Genomic DNA, 24378 nt, shown 5'->3' with positions numbered 1-24378 from the left:
CTGTCAGGAGGTTAACAGAAAGATCAGTTCTGCTTCAGACTTAAAGGAGGAAAACCTTACAGTTTCACATGAGAATAACTTTGACCCCATTTTACAGTTTAAAAAAACCACAAAAGTACCAAACCCTTAAAATCATGTCTTTAAATAAAACAGTATTCTAGTCTTTTCCATGTCTGACTCATCCTTCACCCAGCTACCAAATATATCTTCCTAAAATATTTCTCTGCACACATGTCTCTTGAATAACCTGTTAACAGGGCTCAAAGCCCCCATCTAACTCTCCAAACTTTTCTACTATTCTTCAATACAACCGTCTGCTCCCAGTCTTCTTTTTAGAAACACAATCACATGTTTCCTCTGCCCTGCCTTTGCTTACAGCATCAGTCTTTCACCCAAGGACCACTACCCAGAGCCAGCCAATAGACATGGTATGTTTGGCTCATATAGTGTTTTGATTTTTACAAATTCTTGTCAACATTTAAACATCACCAATTTCACAACAAAATTTAGATTTCTCACTTTTCCTGAAAAATTGGAAGTCCTGGTAAGACTGGGCCCTCCCCTGGCAGCATTCATTGTTGGGCGCAGGAGCCCTGTGCAAATGGAACACGTGCTCCCCACAACCACCCCAGCCTGACTCATGTGATGCATGGCTCTAGTAAGCTTTTAAATTTTTTTTCTTTTTTCTTTCTTTGGAGACAGGGTCTCACTCTGTTTCCCAGGCTGGAGTGCAGTGGCACGATTATAGCTCACTAGAGCCTCAAACTCCTGGGCTCAAGCAATCATCCTTCTCAGCCTTCTAAGTAGCTGGGACTATAAGCATGAGCCACCCTGCCCTGCAGCACTAGTAAGCTTTTGAGTTTGCAACCCCAGCTCTCATTGTCTCCCTGCCTAGAATACACTTCCCGTTTCTCTCCTCTCCCTTCCAAGGCCACCTCCTTTTCTAATCTGGTTCCCTACTCCTCCATTACTGTTCCTCCCTCTGAATGCACTCATTATTTACATGGCTCCTCTTGCACTTGAGGCTCCTCAGGATTCCATTTGTCTTTGTGTCCTGATTTCTCAAATTCTTTGAGGATGGACCCAGTGTCAAGCACTTAATGCCCCACACTTAGTAGGGGAACAATAAAGGTGTGTTGTAGTGCTGCCTTTGACACACATGTACATTGTGCTTTTAGAAGTTGCTATAAATGCAACCTGAAACAGCATGAGCAGAAAAGGAGGGCTTCTTGGCTCGTGAGCTAGATATGCAAGGAAGTAGCTGGGGACAACCAGAACCAGAAACCTGAATGCTGTCAGTTCTAGATTTCTCTCCCACTCTCAAGTTCGTTCTTTATTTCTTCCCCAGATTTCTGTGCCTGAGTCATTGTTGCCTACTATCTACTGCAGACAGGATTTTTCACACAGAAGACATACCTGCTGACAGCTCTGGGGTTGCTTTCACAAAGCTCCATTCCTCTATTCAATTCAAAAACTTTCAAGACAGGACTCAGACTGGCTTGATGGAATCATATGCCAACCCCTATGTATAGGAGATGGGATGCTACCACAGTTAAACACAAATGCAAAAGGAGCAAATCTGTAAAACAAAGGGGATATACTTCCTAGAAGAAAGGAGAGGCTGGGCACGTTGCCTCACATCTGTAATCCCACCACTTTGGGAGGCTGAAGAGGACTGATTGCTTGAGCCTAGGCGTTTGAGACCTGCCTGGGCAACATAGGATGATCCTGTTTCTACCAAAATAAATAAATAAATAAATAAATAAATAAATAAATAAATAAATAAATTATCTGGGTGTGGTAGTGCACACCTGTGGTCCCACATACCCAGAAAGCTGAGGGAGAAGGATCACTTAAGTCTAGGAGGTCAAGGCTGCAGTGAGCTATAATGATGCCACTGAGCCCCAGCCTAGGTGACAGAGTTAGACCGTGTCTCAAAAAAAGAAGAAAGAAAGAAAGAAGGAAAGAAGAAAGAAAGAAAGAAAGAAAGAAAGAAAGAAAGAAAGAAAGAAAGAAAGAAAGAAAGAAAGAAAGAAAGAAAGAAAGGAAAGAAAGAAAAAGAAAGGAAGAAAGAGAAAGAAAGAGAGAAAAAGAAAGAAAGAAACAAAGGAGAGAGAAAGAGAAAGAAGAAAAGAAAAGCCAAGAAAGGAAGGAAGAAGGAGGAAGGAAGGAAAGAGAAAAGGAAAGAGAAATATAGGTAGAACACGTTAGAAGATGTTCACAGGGTTAGAACAAATTGAAAATAATTTTTTTGTTTTTTCTGTATGAGCAATTTATACCACTTACATATCAGTTAAATTAAGTATGATTCATGACTTTCTTTTTTATTGTAGTTTGGAGAACTATTCTTTCTATTTATTTCTGATTTTATTTTAATTTTAGCAAAGAAATTCATGTACTTAGTTTACAAAAGTCAATCATTATAAGTCTTTAATTTAAAAGAGAAAAAAGCATCCCCTCTCTATCCTGATTTCTGCTCCCAGAGGAAACATTTTCAAATCTTTCAGCCATCACTTCTATATTTACCTTCATATTCTTAAATAACATTATTACATTGCTATGCCTCTATCTTTAAGCTTTTAGACATAATGTATTAGCTTTCTAATCTGGAAGTTGAGTCTCCAGCTTTCTTTCTACTCCATCCCCCTTGCACACTATACAGATGGTTCCCAACTTATGATGGTTTGACTTTAAATTGTTCTGCTTTATGATGGTGTGAAAGCAATACACATTTCAGTAGAAACCACACTTCGAGTACCTATATGATCATTCTGTTTTTCACATTCAGTACAGTATTCAATAGATTACATGAGAAATTCACCACTTTATTATAAAATAAGCTTTGTGTTAGGTAATTTTCCCAACTGTAGGCTAATGTAGGTGTTCTGAGCACATTTAAGGCAGGTCAGGCTACAATAAGCTATGACGCCTGGTAGGTTAGTGTATTAAATGCATTTTTGACTTACAATATTTTCTGCTTAACGATGGTTTTATTGGGACGTAACCCTATCATAAATCAAGGAGCATCTGTACTCCTTACATGGTCCCAATAGGGTTACTACACAATTTTGGTTGAAGTCATTCTTATGACCATGAAAATATTGTTAACAGTTGGGGCATGTGATCATGTTTTATCTTTTCTTGTCTAATTGTTTTGTTTCCTACAGAAAACCACCCCACTGCTTTTCTATGTGACTCTCATGTATCAGCTCCAAGCTCTACAAAACTGTATCGGTCTCCTTCACATGAACAAATGCATCAGGCAATCTCTCAGTGTCATTCTTTACCCTTGACTACCTTCCTCCTGCACCTGCTGTCCTCTTGCTAGGTTGGATGCACAGCTATGGCCCCAGGACTTCCTGTCACCATCACCCTGGGAATTCCCCTTGCCTCTCTTCCGTGTTGGATGCCCTGTTTCCTCTTTCTTGGGTTATTATGTCATGTTGGTGGAGCACATCCTCCAGGAGCTTCCGGAAAAAGAAATTGAAGGGAAATTTGTGGAGACCTTGCATGCTGTAAAATGCAATTTCTACCTTCAAACTTGATTGATAATCTAGATATGAAGAGAATTATAGATTAGAAATATTTTCCAGCAAATTTTTAAATTTTTAAAGGCACTGCTCTTTTGTTTCGTTACTTGAAGTATAAGAATATACCTCAGGAAGTGAAGGAATGGGCTGCTGAGGGAAGAGCACTCCAGATCATGGATGTCCAGTGCAAAGAGCCTGGGGTGGGGCAGAAGCAAGCCTGGCATTGTGGAAGAACAGATGGTCTGGGTAAGCTGGACCAGGGTTTGTGAGGGGGAGAGAGGTGAGATGTGGATTGCAAGAAGTAGTCTGTGGCCGATTATATCAGGCTTTGGAGGTTTTTTATAAGGATCTGGCTTTTATCCTAAATAAGCTAGGGAGCCAATGAAGGGTTTTGAGCAGAGAAGTGTCATGATCTAAATCATATGTTTAAAGCATCAGACTGGCTGCTGTGTTGAGAATAAACTGGTGGGCTAAGGCAGCAGGAGGGAGACCAGCTAGGAGGTGATTGCAGGAAGTCAAGCAAGTGATAATGGGCTTGTACCCAGCTAGTGGGGTTCCAGTTAGTGATGTTGAAAGTGTTGAAAAGTGTTCCGTTTCTGCTTTTTTTTAAATGTGAAACCAACAGGACATGCCAGTGATTATAAAGCATATGATGATGATATAGGATAAAGGAAGAGAGGAGTTAATTAAATATGACACTGATGTTTTTATCCTGAACAAATGGAAGGAAGGAATTGCTGAAATAGAGACGTCTCTGAAGAGCAGAAGCTGTTTTGAACATTGCAGTTTGAAATACCTATTAGACCTCTGCTTGGAGATCCCAAACAGGTAGTAGCTGGATATGGGAGTCTGGGGCTAAGAGGAGGGGTGTTGGCTAGATATATAAGCTTTGAAGTCATCAGCCTATAAATATTGACAAAACAAGTGAGGTGGCAGAGGAATTAGTGAACATAGAAAAAAAAGAGGTCTGAGGATTGAGATCAGAGGCATGCCCATATATTAAAGATTAAGGAACAGAGGAAGAATCCACAAAGGAGATTGAGAAGGAGTAGTCAGGGAGGTAGAAAGCAAGCCAAGAGACTGTCTCAAGTAGAAGGGAATGATCAACTGCTGACTGATTAAGTAAGATAAGGACTGAGACTTAGCAACATGGAGGTCATCAGTGATTTTTGACTAGCTCAACCTGTGAGAGTGAAAACATGACTGAAGTGAGTTCAAAGGGAAGTGGAGGAGTGGTCTTAGAGACAGTGAATGCAGTCAGTCCTTTAAATTTTGTCCTGAAGGGGAGTCGAGATATGATATAAGGAAAAGATTTTCATTTTTCCAATGGAAGATAATATAGCACATTTACTTGCTGGTGAGAATGATCCAAGAGAGGAGGAAAAAACTGATAAAAGACAGGGAAAGAAGGGACAAAGTACAATTACTAAAACTTTCAAGGAAGGGGAAGAAACTAAGACTATAAGTAGAGGGATTGTCTTAGCTCAGGGGATGGAACATGTGTGTACTGTAGCACGCAGGGTGCACTAACAGATGCAAGTGAATGTGGTGATGGGAATGAGGAGGGGCATTTTCAGGTTGCTTTAATTTTCTTAGTGAATTTGGAGGTAAGGGCATGAACTTGAAATGAGGGTGGAAAAGGAGATATTGTAGGAAAAGATACAAAATAGTCATTTAGGAGGGTGGGAGAGGAACTAAACAAGGAGAATGGGGCAGTAAATAGACTAGGAAGATGTAGTGGGATTGCTGAATAGCACAAAAGTCTCACCGGAGGTGAGTGATAACGAGTTTAAATCAGGACCGCCTGGTTTGGATGTGTATTTTCTCCTGCCATATTAAGCTGCAGGCATGTGCAAACATCATGTGTGGGGAATTGAATTAAGCCAGGACTGGGTCCTTTTCAAGAAAATACAATGAAAGGAGAGAAGGGCAAGAGAGTTGAAAGTGTATGCAAGGGAATTTATACTGATGGACTGTAGAATCTACACAGGGTAAGGACGCGAGGTGAGTGCGGGACAGTGAAAAGGTGGTGGCATCAGATTAACTAATTTTCAGTCCCAAAGGACCAGAAATATTTTAGGAATTGGGATGTTAGTGGGAATAAACTATTAGGTTGGTGCAAAAGTAATTTTCTTGTTTGTTTGGTTTTTTGTTTGTTTGTTTGTTTTGCCCTTACTTTTGCACCAACCTAACAGGAAAAATCAGTGGTTATGGTCAGAAAGTGGGAAGCTTGAAGTTGAGATTATCAAGTTAATATCAGTGCAGTCATTGGTAATGATAAGTTCTAGGATCTAAGCAATGGGAAGAAAGAAGTTGGCTGAAGAAATGATGGAAATTAATTATATAATTGAAGAAAAAGAAGTCAAGGCACTGAGAGCATGTTCAGTTGGCAGAAATTCCATGACAGCATCTACAAGGGCATATTGGAGAGAGTGAGGGTAAGCTTGGAGTTTTCGCTCGTTGAACTTGTTCTCGTGAGCCTATGAATCTGGAGAATCTTATCCTTCTGTTCTAGGGAAGTTTTAAAATCCTTTCTTTTATAATTTCTCCCCTCTGTTTTCTACATTTTGTCTTTCTTAAAGTCCTGTTAGTAAATGATGGTCTCCTAGTTCAATTACCTGATTTACTTGACTCTTCCATTTTTCCATCCCTTTGTCTTTTTACTTAGTTTCTTGAAGACTTACCTTCCAGCCCTTTTATTGAATCTGTTATTTCTGTTACCCTATTTTCATTTACCAAGAATGATTTCTTATGCTCTACATACTCCTTTTTTCATGTAACCACACATTCTTATTTTGCAGATGTAACATTTTATCTTTTTTTTGAGGTCAATAATATGTTTAAGTGTTCTTTTCACTGCACTTTTTGTTACTCCAAGTTGCCTTTATTCATTTATTTGTTTATTTTAATCTTTAATATTTTATGTTGGAGACTTTCCTCACATGTCTGGTGATACTTGATTGTTCACACTTAAGAGTGAGGCACTTAAAAAGCAAATGGGAAGCTTTGTGTGTATTTGCAGTGTTTGTCAATTGCTACTGTTTACTGGAGAGCAATCAGTCAGGCACCTGGTCATTTCACTGGGAGACTTAAAAATGTCAGTATATAAGTCTTTTCTCCAATCAGTTGGTTTTGTCAAAGGGGACTCTTCCAATTCCCTGCCTAGGGAATATAAATCTAGTTGCCAGTGCCCTAACTGCAAGTGAGGGAAAAAGGGTGGGAGTCTCACTAATTAGTATATGGCATGTAGACTTGACCTTGATCATCCTTTTTCAGCCTTACTCCTATCCTCTACAAAACATGGTATCATTGGGTCTGAAAATCCCTGGCTCTATTTCCCTAGAAATTAAACCAGTTGCCTGCTGGGCTGGTTGGTGTACAGAAGAGGAGAAGGATTCTGAGGGGTCATCTCCAATCCCATTTTTTTTCAGCCCCAGCCTGCATCCCTTTCTACAGAAGTAACAACAATTTCCAGTTTCTGAGCCTTTCCAGGGTTGTACAGTAGGTATTCATTTGCTTTTTGATATTTTCCACAGCAAAGCAAACTTTCTTGCTGCTCTGTTAACTTCGTTACCACTCACCCGTCTGCCTTCTGTCTTCCAACATTTTGTTGCTAGCTCTTGTCTGCTGTTGCCTCTTCTGTTCTCTTTATCCTTCCAGGTTTTATAAGATTGTTTTTATTCCTTTTCAGTCATTTCAGAGAGGCTTCAGGATGGAGTTGTGATAAACGCATGTGTTCAGTCTACAATGTTTAACAGGGAGTGCCTCTTGATTTTTTCATGTGAATTACTGAGGAGTAGGTAGTAGACTATCTTGATGCCCTTCCTCATGTCCCTTTGACTCTGAGTTGACCTGCAGCTGCAGTGAACACTTCCTAAGGATGCTGATGTCTTCCCCTATCAAGCACTTGCCTCATTCTGCTTCTCCGAGGATTTCCTCCAGTACACCAAGAGCTTGCCCGACACTCACAAGGTATCCTGGAACTGCTGGGGACTGAAAACCCCTCAACCCATGAAGAATGAGGATCAGTGGATTAATAGCAACTGTCCCATACCTTGGTGGGACTATTATAAGGCATTCTGGTTGGTTCCTCAGAGGTCCCAAATGGGATTGAACCAAAGTTGCCCACAGTAAAAACTCATTCACCAACTCAATTTTCATTTCACCCCTCTCAATTTGCACACTCACTCACTTGTTCTACCTGGGATACTCTCCAAGATAAACTCCTGTATCCAAAGCTTTGTCTCAAGGTCTCATTTGGGAGGAACTCAAACTAAGATAATAGGTACTGGAAGTGACTACAGAAAGTATATTATCAATGGTATGGAGGCAACAAAAACCCCATTAATGGTGGTGAGTAAGGTGGTGACAAACCCTGGCACTTTGAAGAATTTCATTACCCACAATTGACCCATGGTGTACTTGGATGAGGTAAAAATGAAAGGAGACGCTAACCTTATGCAATAGTGCTAACTCCTGAAAGATATAGGGCTGTGATAATCACAGGAATTGAAGAGTTGTCTTGTTCTTGTTAACTCCCCTAGAAGAATTGGGAAAAAAGAAAGATAGGTTTACAACATCCAACTACCCATTCAGAGCATAGCAATGAAAGCCAGAAGGTCTCCTTGGGAGAATCTGAAGAGACCCCCATTTCCTGCAACCAGAGGGCAGGCTGTTCTAAAAAAATGACATTCAGGGGTTCACTGCAAGAGGAATTGAACTACAGAGCAGACTGAAGACACAGTCCAGGCAGGCCTCTCATGCAAAAGTCAAAGCCCTAGAGGAAGGAAATGGTCCTTAAAAACTACTGGGATGCAGGCAGGCATCTGGATAGATGTGCTAGATAACCTTGAACCCCTAGATTCCCTGAACAACCCAGGCTAGCAGGAGTATCCTGCACCCTGTTACTTGAACAGAACAGCTTCCCTTTGCCTAGAGACTCTACACAGTCCTCCTCTGAAGCAGACACCTCCAAGATTACTTCAAGGTCTGCTACTTCCTGCCCTCATTGCCTCTATTCCAAAAACTGGAAACAAGTCTCAGCATGCCCTGAGCAGGGTAGCACATTTCTTGCTGTGAGAGATATGACAGATTGTATTTTCTAAAGAAGGCTGCAACCATGTCTCTCATCCCAAATGCTCTTCTACAATGCAATCTTGTCACTCCTCTACCAAGAGATGAAACCTAATTTCAATGCCCTTGAATCTAAGCTGGACTTTACTTGCTTTGACCTGTAATGTACAGAAGTGACACTGTGTGATTCTTACAGCTGAGTCATAAAAGGTGATGCAGCTTCTGCCTTGTTCCTGGGGACATATGCCTCTGTGAGATTGAGCTACTAAATAACAAGACCACCTACCTTGAGGCTGCCATGCTGGAAGAAAGCAAAGCCACATGAAGAGCAAGTAAGCTGGTTGCTTTAGCAAGATCCTTCATATTGATAGTGAATGTGCACTTCTGTCTTTCTCTTGTGAATGCAAACCACTTTTTCAATAGTCTCACGTTAAGTGCCAAAGATTGTTGTTTTTGTTGAATGCATTCTCTTTATCATTCACTACCTGGCCCTAGGAATTTGTTCAATGATCCTCATTTCTGTTACAATATAGTCTTCAGTGACCTTGATCATCTTCACATTCTATAGAACATCATCCTGGCCCATTATATTAATGACAGAATAATAATTGAACTTGGTTTTTAGGAAGGAGCAAGTATACTGGTTTTAAATACTTCATGCTGAAGGAATGAGAGATAAGCCCTACAAAGTTTTGGAAGTCTGCCACATCAGGGAATATTTTAGGGGCCCAAAGATCCAGGGGTATGTTGAGACACCCTACTCAAAAGAATACTTTACATTTCCTACCACTAAGACAGAGGCACAGCACTTGGTGAGCTGCTTTGAATTCCTGAGGCAAAAAAATAACAATAATAAATACTACCCATGAGAATAATGCTCTGATCTATTGTATCAGAAGACTATTGACTTTGCGGGGGTCTGAGAGAGTATCTGAATAGCCTTTTAAAGACTTAAAAAGGCATTGGCTTAGGAATTGCACCTTGCATGGCTAGGTCATTGTCCTCGAGGATACAGCATATTTGTTGAACCAGTGATCACTATATGCAATCACTGTGCTGTTTTCCCAGCATTTGGAATACACAGGAATGATAATTAAAGGATACAAGTAGGACTGACTTAAACACACTCCCTTTCACCCATTAGTGGAAATTATGTTTTTAATTCTTACAACTTTAGGCTCTTCCTGATTAAAAGCCTTGGTCTCAAGGTGTGTGTACAGACGGAGACAGTAAGTGTTCCACTGCATCAATGCAGTGCCATCTGAGGATTTGGGCATCTCCATACTGACAGGTCAGCAGGCAAAAATGGGAGTACTATACTGGCAGGGACACCTGACTGATTATCTTGAAGAGTCGGAGTTGCTGCTACATAATGGGCCCAGGGAGGAAGATGTCTAGAACTTGGGGGAATCACTCAGGCCCCCCTTAGTGCTTCTTTGTCTGGCGATAATAGCAGAGAAGCAATTGAAGTAGCCATGTCCTCACAAGGGCAAGGTAATCAAGGCCCAGCCACTCAGAGATGAAGGTCTGGTCATACACTGAGCAAGCAATGATGACTAGTGGAAGTGCTAGCCAAGGATTCGGGAAATCTAGAAGAAGTGGAATTGGAGAGAGATGATGAGTATAGATTATAGCCTTGGGACCAGCTGCAGCAGTGAAGATTGTGACTTGTTCCACATATTCTTCTATTTTCAGTCATTTTTGGAGATTGCAGCCAGCTACAACTCTGAAATGTCAGTAACAGAGCAAACTAAGGGTGGGCATGAGAGGATCTGCTGAGAGCAAGGAATGAACATGGTAGTCACTAATGATACACTGCCCATGTTCCCCGGCTCACCTGTTAGCTCCCCGGCAGCTTGCAAACATGTCTATACACACTGCCATCTTCCTACCACGAGTGCCATAACTCTCTGCTTCTCTGCTGAGGCCCTTCTCAGCTCACAGTGCGAGTAGCCTGCAAGTGCTAAGGGCATAATGCCTCCAAGGTCAACTTTAATCAACGAGGTTCAAGAGTCAGAAGAGTGAATTCCTTCTGAGATACATTCTTTCTGGTTTCTCAGAGGCTCCCCAGAGGAAGTAGGCCCCAGTTGCTTAGGAAAAATGGAACCTACTTATTAAGGCACCCCCTTTTTACTTTTCTCCTTTCTTTCTCTCCCTTTCCCCACTCCATTCCGTGAAGTTCCTGGGATCACCAAATAAACTATCTGTAATCAAATCTTTATCTCACTCTGCATTCTGGGGAACCCAAACAAAGATGGTAAGTTTGCCTATCTACATTTATGTCTTATTTGCTACAAGTATTACTGGTAATTTTCTTGACAAAAGTAATATGATATCTGCTGATAGGCCAAAATAATACATATTTATAGTGATAACTGCAGCAAAAATGTGAAAACCAATTTTAAAAAGTTATTTTCACTAGTTTAAGAAAAATGAAGAAATTGAACTTTTAAAAAATGCAGTAATACCTCCTAACACATTATGAAGAGGAATATTTTCATAACTGTAGAAATGGTTGGTAAGGCTGTCAACTATCCAAGGATTATATTGAAATAGCTGTCATTGGCCAACTACTATGACTAATGAAATCAACATTTTCACCATGCAGGCAAAATAAACGTCATGAGTCAAATTTAAGAGGTATTTCTTTTTTTCTTTAAAAGTTGTTGAACTATCCAGGTTACTCAACCCTCAGTTTTTCATTTTACAACAGAGTTTTCACATACACAAATACACATACACACACATTTGCATTCAGACATATTCAGACATACATGCACACATCTTTTAGCATTTTAAATATTTTCAAAGTGTAGCTCTACAGACTCATGCATTTTAACTTTGGTAATGCATGCAGTATTCCCTTTGGAATGCAGCTTATGAAGAAATCCACGCTGGGGGCAAGTATATAGTAATTCTTTCTTTATCTCCTGCATATATTAGGAAACCCTCCAGGAGGGTTATTACTAAGACAAATTTAGAAAGACCTCCACATTCACAGAGACAAAAATATCAGCGGCATCCTGAAAAAGCCAATGAGTGATCAAAAATCAGAAATAAACAAGCTTTGCTCATTTTAAGCCATATAAATATTTGTTGAATAAATCCTGTTTTGTTTTCACTTTTGATGGGATGTTAGTTTGTGAAATCAAATGATACCCAGATTCTTTCTTCCCATAGGTTTATAAATACCCAAATATGGCATATTTGACTCCATATACAGGCTTTGTTGAACATGGATTGTTTTTGTCTACCTTTCTCCATTTCAATCACATGGTTCTAGTGTGAACTTCTAATTATGGACCCCTGATCTCTCTGTTCCAGTCAAAGGGCAGGAATGTGGTTAATTACCATGCATCATGCACTGTCTTTAGTGATTATTCTAAGAGGCTATGAAAGGTAAACCAATCAGAGGCCTTCACCAGGATTCTGAAGTGGAGCTCCACAAGGAAGAAGAGCTTTCTTTGTTAATGATGATGTCTGGAAGCAGCCATGTAACTCCACCCCATGGAGACAGCTGGTATAGAAGAATGAAGCCAAATTGTAGGGACAGGTGATACCAAGTGTAAGGTCCTCAGTTCTAGAGTTGGAGAATCCCACTGCCCAACTCTGTGCACCCTGTCTTCTGGGGTTTGGTTGTTCCCTTCACAAGCTTTCTGGGAGCACCTATTGTATCTCTCCCCGTATTCCTCCATGGAGCTCAAAGTAAGCCACCTTGGGTTTCCACTGTTTACAACCAAGAGCTCTGATATATGTGCTGCATTTACTTTTGCTGTTTTATCAAATACTTACAAACTCAACTGCTTAATTAGGCAAAGCATTCTATTGCTTTTCCTTTTTGATATCTCAGTAATTGATTTCTAAGGAAGAGAGGGCATCTTGCTGGGATTGTTTTCACCTATTGCTCTTTTGCCCAGCCTCACCCAGCTCAGATATTGACTAAAGCCGTTCAACTCAGCTGGTCTGGCTACAGAGTACAGGGGTAGGTGCGCACCATGGCTCAGGTGCAATAACGACTGTAGCTTCCCAAATTGTAATGTCAGGTTACCAATGTCGAGACGAATTGGGATTGCCTAAGTGATTCCCTGGGTACACTCACCTTTTTACCCAATGATAAAAACGAGAGATCTCAACAAAATAGCTCTTATCTATTATGCTGCAGACTGACAATTCTTTTTTTTGTTTGTTTGTTTTTTTGAAGACAGAGTCTCACTCTGTTGCCCAGGCTGTAGTGCAGTGGTGCAATCTCCACTCACTGCAACCTCAGCCTCCTGGGCTCAAGTGATTCTCCCACCTCAGCCTCCCGAGTAGCTGGAACTGCAGGCACGCACCGCCAGGCCCAGCTTATTTTTGTTTTTCGTATTTTCTGTAAGATGGGGTTTCACTACATTGCCGAGGCTGGTCTTGAACTCCTGGGCTCAAGCGATCTGCCCACCTTGGCCTCCCAAAGTACTGGGATTACAGGCATGAGGCACTGCACCCAACCAACAATTCTTAAAACTATTTTTAGTTACAATTCTGAAGACAGGGCTCAATGTTGGTTTTAAGGGTTTTATTTTATATTTTGCTAACTACTTACCCTTTTAAAAATCATTTTAGAACCATTTCGAGGATGTAGAAATGTCAACTGTTATTTATTTGTCATCTTCTCCAAATTTTAGGTTTAAAAGAGGCAATATGTGATTGGCCTAGCTTGGGTCACGTGGCCCCTCTTCACTAGGAGGTGCAGGGCACACCCAAAAAGGTTATCCACTGGGGAGTGTAATGCTCTAAGGGAAATCGGATGCTGTTGGTAAGGGGAATAGACACTAAGCAGTAAAATAACCACAAATGCCCACTACAGTGAGCATATGAGATTATTTTCACTAGAGCTAAGCAGAACATAACTGGATATTAACCGCTTCCTAAAATATGACATTCACCTGCAATATGCAAAGAGCTGAGACTACTTCTCTTGAACTTCCCACTTTCGTTTCTCTTTTCTTTTCTTTTTTTTCTCTTTTTTTTTTTTTTTTGAGATGGAGTTTTGCTCTTGTCCTCCAGGCTGGAGTCCAATGGCACAATCTGCAACCTCCGCCTCCCAGGTTCAAGCGATTCTCCTGCATCAGCCTCCCAAGTAGCTGGGATTACAGGCACCCACCAACATGCCTGGCTAATTTTTGTATTTTTAGTAGAGACAAGGTTTCACCATGTTGGCAAGGCTGGTCTCGACCTCCTGACCTCAAGTGATTCTCCTGCCTTGGCCTCCCAAGGCACTGGGTTTACAGATGTGAGCCACCGTGCCCGGCCCCACACTTTCATTTTTCACTTCATTTAGCCTAAGGCAGGATTCCTGGTTTCTTTTTTCCCCCCTTATTATTTTTTTTCAGAAAAAAAAAATTTTTTTCTCAAAATTTCAGAAGAAAGCCTTTCTTTAAAATATTACCTTACTAGATTTATCTTGTCCAATGTGGAAAGCTATGCATTATATACTGCTAAGTAAAAACAAACAAGCAGCAGAATAGTATAAAATCTCATTTTGATTATTTTAAAACATTATTTAGACAATTTTTTTTGGAGACAGATACTCATTATGTTGCTCAAGCTGGAGTGCAGTGGCTATTCACAGACATGACCATAACACACTACAGCTTCAAACTCCTGGCCTCAAGAGATCCTCCTGCCTCAGACTCCCAAGTAGCTAGACAAAACATGTTAAATTGCAAATATAACTGAATATATACTAAAAAGTCTTCCTCATAGATACTCACCAAACATGTAATGCTGGTGTGATAAGCAGAATAATGCCCCCTCAAATATGTCCACATCTTAATCTCTAGAATCTTTAGATATGTTACCTTACATGGCAAAAGGAACTTTGTGGATATGGTTAAACTAAGAATCTTGAGATGGGCAGCTCAGCGTAGATTATTCAGCTGGGCTCAATGTAATGACAAGCGTCCCTGTAAGTGAAAAAGAGAGGCAGAAGAGTCAGTTTCAGGGTGGTATAGTAGGAGAAAGATTTGACTGCCATTACCAGGTTTGAAGATGGAAGGAAGCCACAAGCAGAGGAATGCAGGCAACTGTAGGGGCTAGAAAAGGCAAGGAAACAGATTCTGCCTTAGAGCCCCTAGAAGGGAACTCATTTCTGCCAGTACCTTGAGTTTTGCCCAGTGAGACCCATTTCTGATTTCTGACCTCTAGGACTAAATAATTTGTTGTGTGTGTTGTTTTTTAAGCCACCAAGTTTGTGGTAATTTATTATAGCACCAATGGCAAATGGATGCACATGGTTAATCTTGGGTAGTGGGTTTTTTGGGGGAGGGATGTAGAAGGAGAGACCAAAGGACATTAATACTTCCAAGCTGAAAATTTTTGCAAGTGTGTGCTATTTGTGAGGTCCATTCCAAGATGGCTGAATAGGAACAGCTCAGGTTTGCAGCTCCCACCGTGATTGACGCAGAAGAGGTGATTGCTGCATTTCCAACTGAGGTAGCTGGTTCATCTCATTGGGACTGGTTGGACAGTGGGTGCAGCCCACGGAGGGCAAGCCAAAGCAGCGCAGGACATTGCCTCACCTGGGAAGCGCAAGGATCTGGGGGATTTCCCTTTCCTAGCCAAGGGAAGCCATGACAGACTGTACCAGGAAAATTGGGACACTGCCACCCAAATACTATGCTTTCCCAACAGTCTTAGCAAACAGCACACCAGGAGATTATATCCCGCACTTGGCTCAGCAGGCCCCACACCCACAGAGCCTTGCTCACTGCTAGCGCAGCAGTCCAAGATCGAACTGCAAGGAGACAGCCTGACTTGGGGAGGAGCGTCTGCCATTGCTGAGGCTTGAGTAGATAAAAAAAGCAACCAGGAAGCTCAAACTGGGTGGAGCCCACCGCAGCTCAACCAGGCCTGCCTGCCTCTGTAGACTCCACCTCTGGGGGCAGGACATAGCTGAACAAAAGGCAGCAGAAAGTTCTGCAGTCTTAAACGTCCCTGTCTGACAGCTCTGAAGAGAGCAGTGATTCTCCCAGCGTGGTATTTGAGCTCTGAGAACGGAAAGACTACCTCCTTAAGTGTGTACCTGACCCCCAAGTAGCCTAACTGGGAGACACCTCCCAGTAGGGCCAACTGACGTCTCATACAGTCGGATGCCCCTCTGAGATGAAGCTTCCAGAGGAAGGATCAGGCAGCAATATTTGCTGTTCTGCAATATTTGCTGTTCCGCAATATTTGCTGTTCCGCAGCCTCTGCTGGTGATACCCTGGAAAACAGGGTCTGGAGTGGAACTCCAGCAAACTCCAATGGACCTGCAGCTGAGGGACCTGACTGTTAGAAGGAAAGCTAACAAAGAGAAAGGAATAGCATCAACATCAACGAAAAGGACATCCACACCAAAACCCCATCTGTCGGTCAACATCTTCAAAGACCAAAGGTAGATAAAACTGCAAAGACGGGGAGAAACCAGAGCAGAAAAGCTGAAAATTCTAAAAACCAGAGCACCTCTTCTCCTCCAAAGGATCGCAGCTCCTCGCCGGCAACGGAACAAACCTGAATGGAGAATGACTTTGCGAGTTGACAGAAGTAGGCTTCAGAAGGTCGGTAATAACAAACTTCTCCAAGCTAAAGGAGGATATTTGAACACATCGCAAGGAAGCTAAAAATCTTGAAAAAAGATTAGATGAATGGGTAACTAGAATAATCAGTGTAGAGAAGACCTTAAATGACCTGATGGAGCTGAAAACCATGGCACGAGAACTACGTGATGCATGCACAAGCTTCAGTAGCTGATTCGATCAAGTGGAAGAAAGGGTATCACTGATTAAAGATCAAATTAATGAAATGAAGTAAGAAGAGAAGTTTAGAGAAAAAAAGAGTAAAAAGAAATCAACAAAGCCTCCAAGAAATATGGGACTATATGCAAAGACCAAATCTATGTTTGATTGGTGTACCTGAAAGTGATGGGGAGAATGGAACCAAGCTGGAAAACACTCTTCAGGATATTATCCAGGAGAACTTCCCCAGCCTACCAAGGCAGGCCAACATTCAAACACAGGAAATACAGAGAACACCACGAACATACTCCTCGAGAAGAGCAATTCCAAGACATGTAATTGTCAGATTCACCAAGGTTGAAATGAAGGAAAAAATGTTAAGGGCAGTCAGAAAGGTCGGGTTACCCACAAAGGGAAGCCCATCAGACTAACAGCAAATCTCTCGGCAGAAACTCTACAAGCCACAGGAGAGTGGAGGCCAATATTCAACATTCATAAAGAAAACAATTTTCAATCCAGAATTTAATATCCAGCCAAACTAAGCTTCATAAGTGAAGGAGAAATAAAATCTTTTACTGACAAGCAAATGCTAAGAGATTTTGTCACCACCAGGCCTGCCCTGCAAGAGCTCCTGAAGGAAGCACTAAACATGGAAAGGAAAAACTGCTACCAGCCACTGCAAAAACATGCCAAATTGTAAAGACCATCGATGCTAGGAAGAAACTGCATCAACTAACGGGCAAAATAACCAGCAAACATCATAATGACAGGATCAAATTCACACATAATGATATTAACCTTAAATGTAAATGGGCTAAATGCCCCAATTAAAAGACACAGACTGGCAAACTGGATCAAGAGTCAAGACCCATCAGTGTGCTGTATTCAGAGACCCATCTCACATGCAGAGACACACTTAGGCTCAAAATAAAGGGATGGAGGAATATCTCTGGAAAGCAAAAAAAAAAAAAAAGGCAGGGGTTGCAATCCTAGTCTCTGATAAAACAGACTTTAAACCAACAAAGATCAAAAGAGACAAAGAAGGCCATAAAACAATGGTGAAGGGATCAATACAACAAGAAGAGCTAACTATCCTAAATACATATGCACCCAATACAAGAGCATCCAGATTCATAAAGCAAGTCCTTAGAGACCTACAAAAAGACTTAGACTCCCACACAATAATAATGGGAGACTTTAACACACCACTGTCAATATTAGACAGATCAATGAGACAGAAGGTTAGCAAGGATATCCAGGACTTTAACTCAGCTCTGCACTAATCAGACCTAATAGACATCTACAGAACTCTCCACCCCAAATCAACAGAATATACATTCTTCTCAGCACCACACCACACTTATTCCAAAATTGACCACATAGTTGGAGGTAAAGCACTCCTCAGCAAATATAAAAGAATAGAAATCACAACAAACTGTCTCTCAGACCACAGTGCAATCAAATTAGAACTCAGGATTAAGAAACTCACTCAAAACTGCACAACTGTATGGAAACTGAACAACCTGCTCCTGAATAACTACTGGGTAAATAACTAAATGAAGGCAGAAATAAAGATGTTCTTTAAAACCAATGAGAACAAAGACACAACATACCAGAATCTCTGGAACACACTTAAAGCAGGGTGTAGAGGGAAATTTGTAACACCAAATGCCCACAAGAGAAAGCAGGAAAGATCTAAAATTGACACCCTAACATCACAATTCAAAGAACTAGAGAAGCAAGAGCAAACAAATTAAAAAACTAGCAGAAGGCAAGAAATAACTAAGATCAGAGCAGAACTGAAGGAGATAGAGACACAAAAAAACCCTTCAAAAATCAATGAATCCAGGAGCTGGTTTTTTGAAAAGATCAACAAAATCGATAGACTGCTAGCAAGACTAATAAAGAAGAAAAGAGAGAAGAATCAAATAGACATAATAAAAAATGATAAAAGGGATATCACCACCGATCCCATAGAAATACAAACTACCACCAGAGAACACTACAAACACCTCTATGCAAATAAACTAGAAAATCTAGAAGAAATGCATTAATTCCTGGATATATACACCCTCCCAAGACTAAACCAGGAAGAAGTTGAATCTCCCAACAGACCAATAACAGGCTCTGAAATTGAGGCAATAATTAATAGCCTACCAACAATAAAAGTCCAGGACCAGACGGATTACAGCCAAATTCTACCAGAGGTACAAAGAGGAGCTGGTATCATTTCTTCTGAAACTATTCCAATCAATAGAACAAGAGGGAATCCTCCCTAACTCATTTTGTGAGGCCAGCATCATCCTGATACCAAAGCCTGGTAGAGACACAACAAAAAAAGAGAATTTTAGACCAATATCCCTGATGAACATTGATGCAAAAATCCTCAATAAAATACTGGCAAACCGAATCCAGCAGCACATCAAAAAGTTTATCCACCAAGATCAAGTTGGCTTCATCTCTGGGATGCAAGGCTGGTTCAATGCAAACCAATAAGCAAATCAATAAACATAATCCATCACATAAACAGAATCAAAGACAAAAACCACATGATTATCTCAATAGATGCAGAAAAGGCCTTTGACAAAATTCAACAGCACTTCATGATAAAAACTCTCAATAAACTAGGTATTGATGGGACGTATCTCAAAACAATAAGAGCTATTTATGACATACCCACAGCCAATATCATACTGAATGGGCAAAAACTGGAAGCATTCCCTTAGAAAACTGGCACAAGACAGGGATGCCCTCTCTCACCACTTCTATTCAACATAATTTTGGAAGTTTTGGCCAGGGCAATCAGGCAAGAGAAAAAAATAAAAGGTATTCAATTAGGAAAAGAGGAAGTCAAATTGTCCCTGTTTGCAGATGACATGATTGTATATTTAGAAAACCCCATCGTCTCAGCCCAAAATCTCCTTAAGCTGATAAGCAACTTCAGCAAAGTCTCAGAATACAAAATCAATGTGCAAAAATCACAAGCATTTATATACACCAATAACAGACGAACAGAGCCAAATCATAAGTAAACTACCATTCACAATTGCTACAAAGAGAATAAAATACCTAGGAATCCAACTTACAAGGGATGTGAAGGACTTCTTCAAAGAGAACAACAAACCACTGCTCCATGAAATAAAAGAGGACACAAACAAATGGAAGAACATTCCATGCTCATGGATAGGAAGAATCAATATTGTGAAAATAGCCATACTGCCCAAGGTTATTTGTAGATTCAATGCCATCCTATCAAGCTACCAATTACTTTCTTCACAGAATTTGAAAAAAACTACTTTAAAATTCATATGGAACCAAAAAAGAGCCCACATTGCCAAAACAATCCTAAGCCAAAAGAACAAAACTGGAGGCATCACTCTACCTGATTTCAAACTACACTACAAGGCTACAGTAACCCAAACAGCATGGTACTGGTACCAAAACAGAGATATAGACCAATGGAACAGAACAGAAGTCTCAGAAATACCACCACACATCTGCAACCATCTCATCTTCGACAAACCTGACAAAAACAAGAAATGGGGAAAGGATTCCCTATTTAATAAATAGTGCTGGGAAAACTGGCTAACCATATGTAGAAAGCTGAAACTGGATCCCTTCCTTACACCTTACACAAAAATTAATTCCAGATGGATTAAAGACTTAAATCTTAGGCATAAAACCATAAAAACTCTAGAAGAAAACCTAGGCCATACCATTCAGGACATAGGCATGGGCAAGGACGTCGTGACTAAAACACCAAAAGCAATGGCAATAAAAGCCAAAATAGACAAATGGGATCTAATCAAACTAAAGAGCTTTTGCACAGCAAAAGAAACTACCATCAGAGTGAACAGGCAAGCTACAGAATGGGAAAAAATTTTTGCAATCTACCCATGTGACAAAGGGCTAATAGCCAGAATCTACAAAGAACTTAAATTTACAAGAAAAAATCAAACAACTCCATCAAAAAGTGAACAAAGGATATGAACGGACACTTTTCAAAAGAAGACATTTATGCAGCCAACAGACACATGAAAAAATGCTCATCATCACTGGTCATCAGAGAAATGCAAATCAAAACCACAATGAGATATCATCTCACACTAGTTAGAATGGCGATCACTAAAACCTCAAGAAACAACAAGTGCTGGAGAGGATGTGGAGAAATAGGAACGCTTTTACACTATTGGTGAGAGTGTAAACTAGTTCAACCATTGTGGAAGACAGTGTGGCGATTCCTCAAGGGTCTAGAACTAGAAATACCATTTGACCCAGCCATCCTGTTACTGGGTATATACCCAAAGGATTATAAATCATGCTGCTATAAAGACACATGCACACGTATGTTTATTGCAGCACTATTCACAATAGCAAAGACTTGGAACCAACCCAAATGCCCATCAATTATAGACTGGATTAAGAAAATGTGGCACATATACACCATGGAATACTATGCAGCCATAAAAAAGGATGAATTCATGTCCTTTGTAGGGACCTGGATGAAGTTGGAAACCATCATTCTGAGCAAACTATCGCAAGGACAGAAAACCAAACACCACATGTTCTCACTCATAGGTGGGAACTGAACAATGAGAACACTTGGACACAGGGTGGGGAACATCACACACCAGGGCCTGTCATGGGGTGGGGGAGTGGGGGAGGGATAGCATTAGGAGAAATATCTAATGTAAATGACGAGTTAATGGGTGCAGCAAACCAACATGGCACATGTATATATATGTAAAAAACCTGCACGTTGTGCACATGTACCCTAGAACTTAAAGTATAATAAATTTGTTTAAAAGTTTACTACCAGCAACAACAAAAGAATGTACTATTTGTAAGTTAGACAGTAGTATGTATAGTTTTTGATGATACCATATAAATAGGTTAACAACTTATTTTCAGAAGGGTGTACTGAATTTGTTGAAATTATCAGTTTCCCTATGAGAGAGGGTTTGCAACTTAATGTTCATAGATATTTTTAAATACATGTATAGATTTGCATTACTTAAGAAATGTCTCTGTGTGGATGTGAATATGTATCTGTATATATATGTGTGCATGTATACACACCATATTTATTTATTTGACCAAGATCAGGATTTAATTTTCTCATGTAACTTGAAGACCAAGAGTCAAGAGGAAGGAGACCCAGGGCTTGTTAGAGATTTCAGGTTTATCCATTTCTCAGTATTTTTCTAACTCTCTGTTCTGACATCTGAACACACGGTTTCCATTCTCAGGGTTGTCTCATGGCTGCAAGATGGCCATAGGAGCTCCAGCTGTGGCACCTGTGTTCTGGGCAAGAAGAAGAAGAAGAAGAAAGAATGGGTGCAAAAGAGCACATTGTGGCTCTTTAAAAGGAATCAACCCCTTTTAAGAAGCATTTTAAATTAGCATTGGCAATAATCTAACCACATAGCCACCTCTGTCCACAAGGCAGGCTACGAAATGTAGATTTTTAGTATGGTACATTGCCTCCCCTAACAAAATCAGGTTTCTCTTAGTGAGGAAGAAGGGGAGAAATTGATTGGGGTAAGCAACTACAAGCCTGTGTACAGGCTTCAGTGACAACCAAATTATAAAGAGGGGGATTTTGTAACTATATATTTAAAGATCAACATTATGCCACAATAAACAGTCCTTAACTGTTCAAGGCAATATAAATAGACATACCACAAACATTTTATAAGTCTTCAAAGCTAACTCGTTAAAAAAGAGAGAAAGAAAACAGCCATAAAAATTAAAAACCTAAAAACAATCAGTTTCAGTATGATTGGGTTTGTAGGACAACTCAGTAAATTTAGTTTTAAAAAAAATTCTAGTTTAAGAAGAACTTCAGAAGGGATATAAACTACCCCCTCTTTGAAATTGTATGCATAATTTATGTGGTTGACTATTTTTCTGATTAGATTTCACATAGATCCTCAAAGGAGTAGGTGACCCAGAAAAGGTTAATAACATGGATCTAGGTGTTGTGCCCATTTGGAAAACGCCACACAGCTAGTCTAACTGAACTCAGAGAGGAATTGGGAGTTTGGATGTCACACATATTCTCAGGCCAACAGAAATTCAAGGATGTGACATTGCCTAAGGTAGTTAAGAAAAGTTGAGGGCACAGCCAGAGTCCAGGGACTGGTCAAAGACATGCATTAAACAGCAAAATGCAAAGGCTTTTGGCCTCTGAAGGAGTTGGAATGAACTTTGTGTGCTGGCAAGCCCCACACAGACCCAGCTACGGGGCTGTCCTTGGAATAAGTGAAATCCTAGAGAGGGCAGTGTTTCATTTTGAGTCTGAGAAGCAAGAAAAGAACAATATGGCCCATATGTGTTGACATATCTACCAACACAGATATTTGGCATTTAGTATTAAAACTGTTTATCAAGCCCCTAATGTTGATGATTAACAAACAGAAGCCTAATGTACTGTGTTACTCTATTGATACATGGGGGGAAGAGGACTCTAATCCATCCATCTCATGAATTTACCAACACTGGTTTAAGAGGACTTAGAGATACCTGGGGACTAGAACAAAGTAAATATGATTATTTCATCAAAAGCGTCCCAAAACAAAAAATTAAAGTGGTGTCGTTGTGACACAGTGGTTACCTGGATTTTAAGATACCTGGGATTGTATTTGCCAGGGAAAAAGTGCCACCTTAGGGCTCCATCTTAGGGTGTTAGCCCCTCCTGCTGTCCCCTGCCCCTCTGTGGAAAGGATAAACTATTGTCTAGTTCCAAGATCTCCAAAGTAGGGTGTGAGTGTGCACCTCGCAGGATTGTCAACATCATCATTGTGGTGTGGGAAGAAAATATTCAAACGTTTAAAATGTTATCTTAAAAATTAGGGAAATATGCACTACAAATATCCACTAAATGAAGTGACAGCAGTGCCATTGCTAGGTGGAGATGTCAGATGGTCAGGCCTCACTTATTGGAGGGGACACTTCTCCAGAGGAGCAGGAGCTTCACAGCATGGAAGTGTTGACTGTGGAGTTCCCACTTCCGCTCTTCCAGTGTATTGCGACAGATGGTCTTTTGTTTATGCCAGGTTAAGGGGATGTATAGATCCTAGTATCTAATTTATGTAAACCAACCCTCACAAAATATACAAATGACTTTAAAAGAGTACAGAAAAGAGAAAACGCCTTCTGATTAAAGATTTCACTAAAGCAAGCAACATCAAACAGAACAATGGCAAAGCTGACCTTTGTGCCTGGACAAGGTCTCTTCGCTACTCACAAGACAATGACAATCTAATTAGATCTAACAAGAAGATGCTCTCACCAAACTGCAAATGTCAAGAATAATACCAGAATACGGAAATGTATCTACAGTCATACACCTAGATTTCACTTTAGGTGTGTTTATGTTGTGTCTGTGGCATGTCTTTTGCAATTATGACAGCCATTAAAACTAATAAGAAACAAACAACTGAAAAGCAGGCCTTTGAATTGCTGTGTCACAAATGTGAAACTACAATTTTCAAAAAAAAAGAAGGATCTTCAACCACACTGCACTGGTTTAAAATGGCATTTTTAAAGAAAAAAAGTATGCCATGAATAAAAATTAATAAGTATTTTCAAATATTATTTATTTCAAATTTAGCACATCCTTTAAGCATACCTATTTTGTGTATGTTTGATATATATAATATATTGATACAGCAACACATGTGTAAGACAAAAATATAAATATAATACATAATTCTGAGTTGCTGCTCAAAATTTTATTTACTATTGGCTTATAAAATCAAAAACGTTTAGAAACCACTGCTAACAATAATCATGGGTGGTAGTGATTTATTCATTAAATGATCTAATCCTTGTCAATTTAGTAATCCTTCTGGATGACTTAATGCCTTAACCCAATTAAAATATAATCTTTCCTTTCTCCAAACTCTCACAACAGTGTAACTTGAAAATTTCTGTAACTTTTTACTAATTATACTTCACACACTTTTCTTGCGTTGTAACTACTTGAGTAGACATATGGTTCTCCCTGTTGACTTGAGGGA

General features: G+C 40.2%; 1 long non-coding RNA gene across 2 annotated transcripts, besides 4 other annotated features; it reads left to right on the top strand.

Annotated features, from left to right (window-relative positions):
- Positions 283 to 442: an enhancer, noted in NCBI's record as "active region_21977". NCBI's record gives its function as "activates an Ori minimal core promoter by ATAC-STARR-seq in GM12878 lymphoblastoid cells {active_cell/tissue: GM12878}" and the evidence as "EXISTENCE:reporter gene assay evidence [ECO:0000049][PMID:35858748]".
- Positions 3299 to 3518: an enhancer, noted in NCBI's record as "active region_21976". NCBI's record gives its function as "activates an Ori minimal core promoter by ATAC-STARR-seq in GM12878 lymphoblastoid cells {active_cell/tissue: GM12878}" and the evidence as "EXISTENCE:reporter gene assay evidence [ECO:0000049][PMID:35858748]".
- On the top strand, positions 3425 to 9020 carry LOC105377468 (uncharacterized). Of its 2 annotated transcripts, NR_188432.1 has the most exons (4): positions 3425 to 3776; positions 4156 to 4358; positions 5813 to 5968; positions 7222 to 9020. It is a non-coding gene; the product is annotated as an uncharacterized LOC105377468 (long non-coding RNA). The 2 variants fall into 2 exon arrangements; NR_188434.1 differs by lacking the exons at positions 3425 to 3776; positions 5813 to 5968 and adding an exon at positions 6962 to 7031 and having other exon boundaries at positions 4139 to 4358.
- Positions 8002 to 9201: an enhancer, noted in NCBI's record as "P300/CBP strongly-dependent group 1 enhancer chr4:146975373-146976572 (GRCh37/hg19 assembly coordinates)". NCBI's record gives its function as "activates an origin of replication core promoter dependent on BRD2, BRD4, P300/CBP, MED14 and CDK7 cofactors, with strong dependence on P300/CBP, by STARR-seq in HCT116 cells {active_cell/tissue: HCT116}" and the evidence as "EXISTENCE:reporter gene assay evidence [ECO:0000049][PMID:35650434]".
- Positions 8415 to 8664: an enhancer, noted in NCBI's record as "active region_21975". NCBI's record gives its function as "activates an Ori minimal core promoter by ATAC-STARR-seq in GM12878 lymphoblastoid cells {active_cell/tissue: GM12878}" and the evidence as "EXISTENCE:reporter gene assay evidence [ECO:0000049][PMID:35858748]".

Source organism: Homo sapiens, chromosome 4 (genome assembly GCF_000001405.40).
Source record: "Homo sapiens chromosome 4, GRCh38.p14 Primary Assembly".
Classification (NCBI taxonomy): Eukaryota; Metazoa; Chordata; class Mammalia; order Primates; family Hominidae; genus Homo; species Homo sapiens.
The sequence above is the reverse complement of the archived record's forward strand: the minus strand, read 5'-3'. Positions and strand labels throughout refer to the sequence as shown.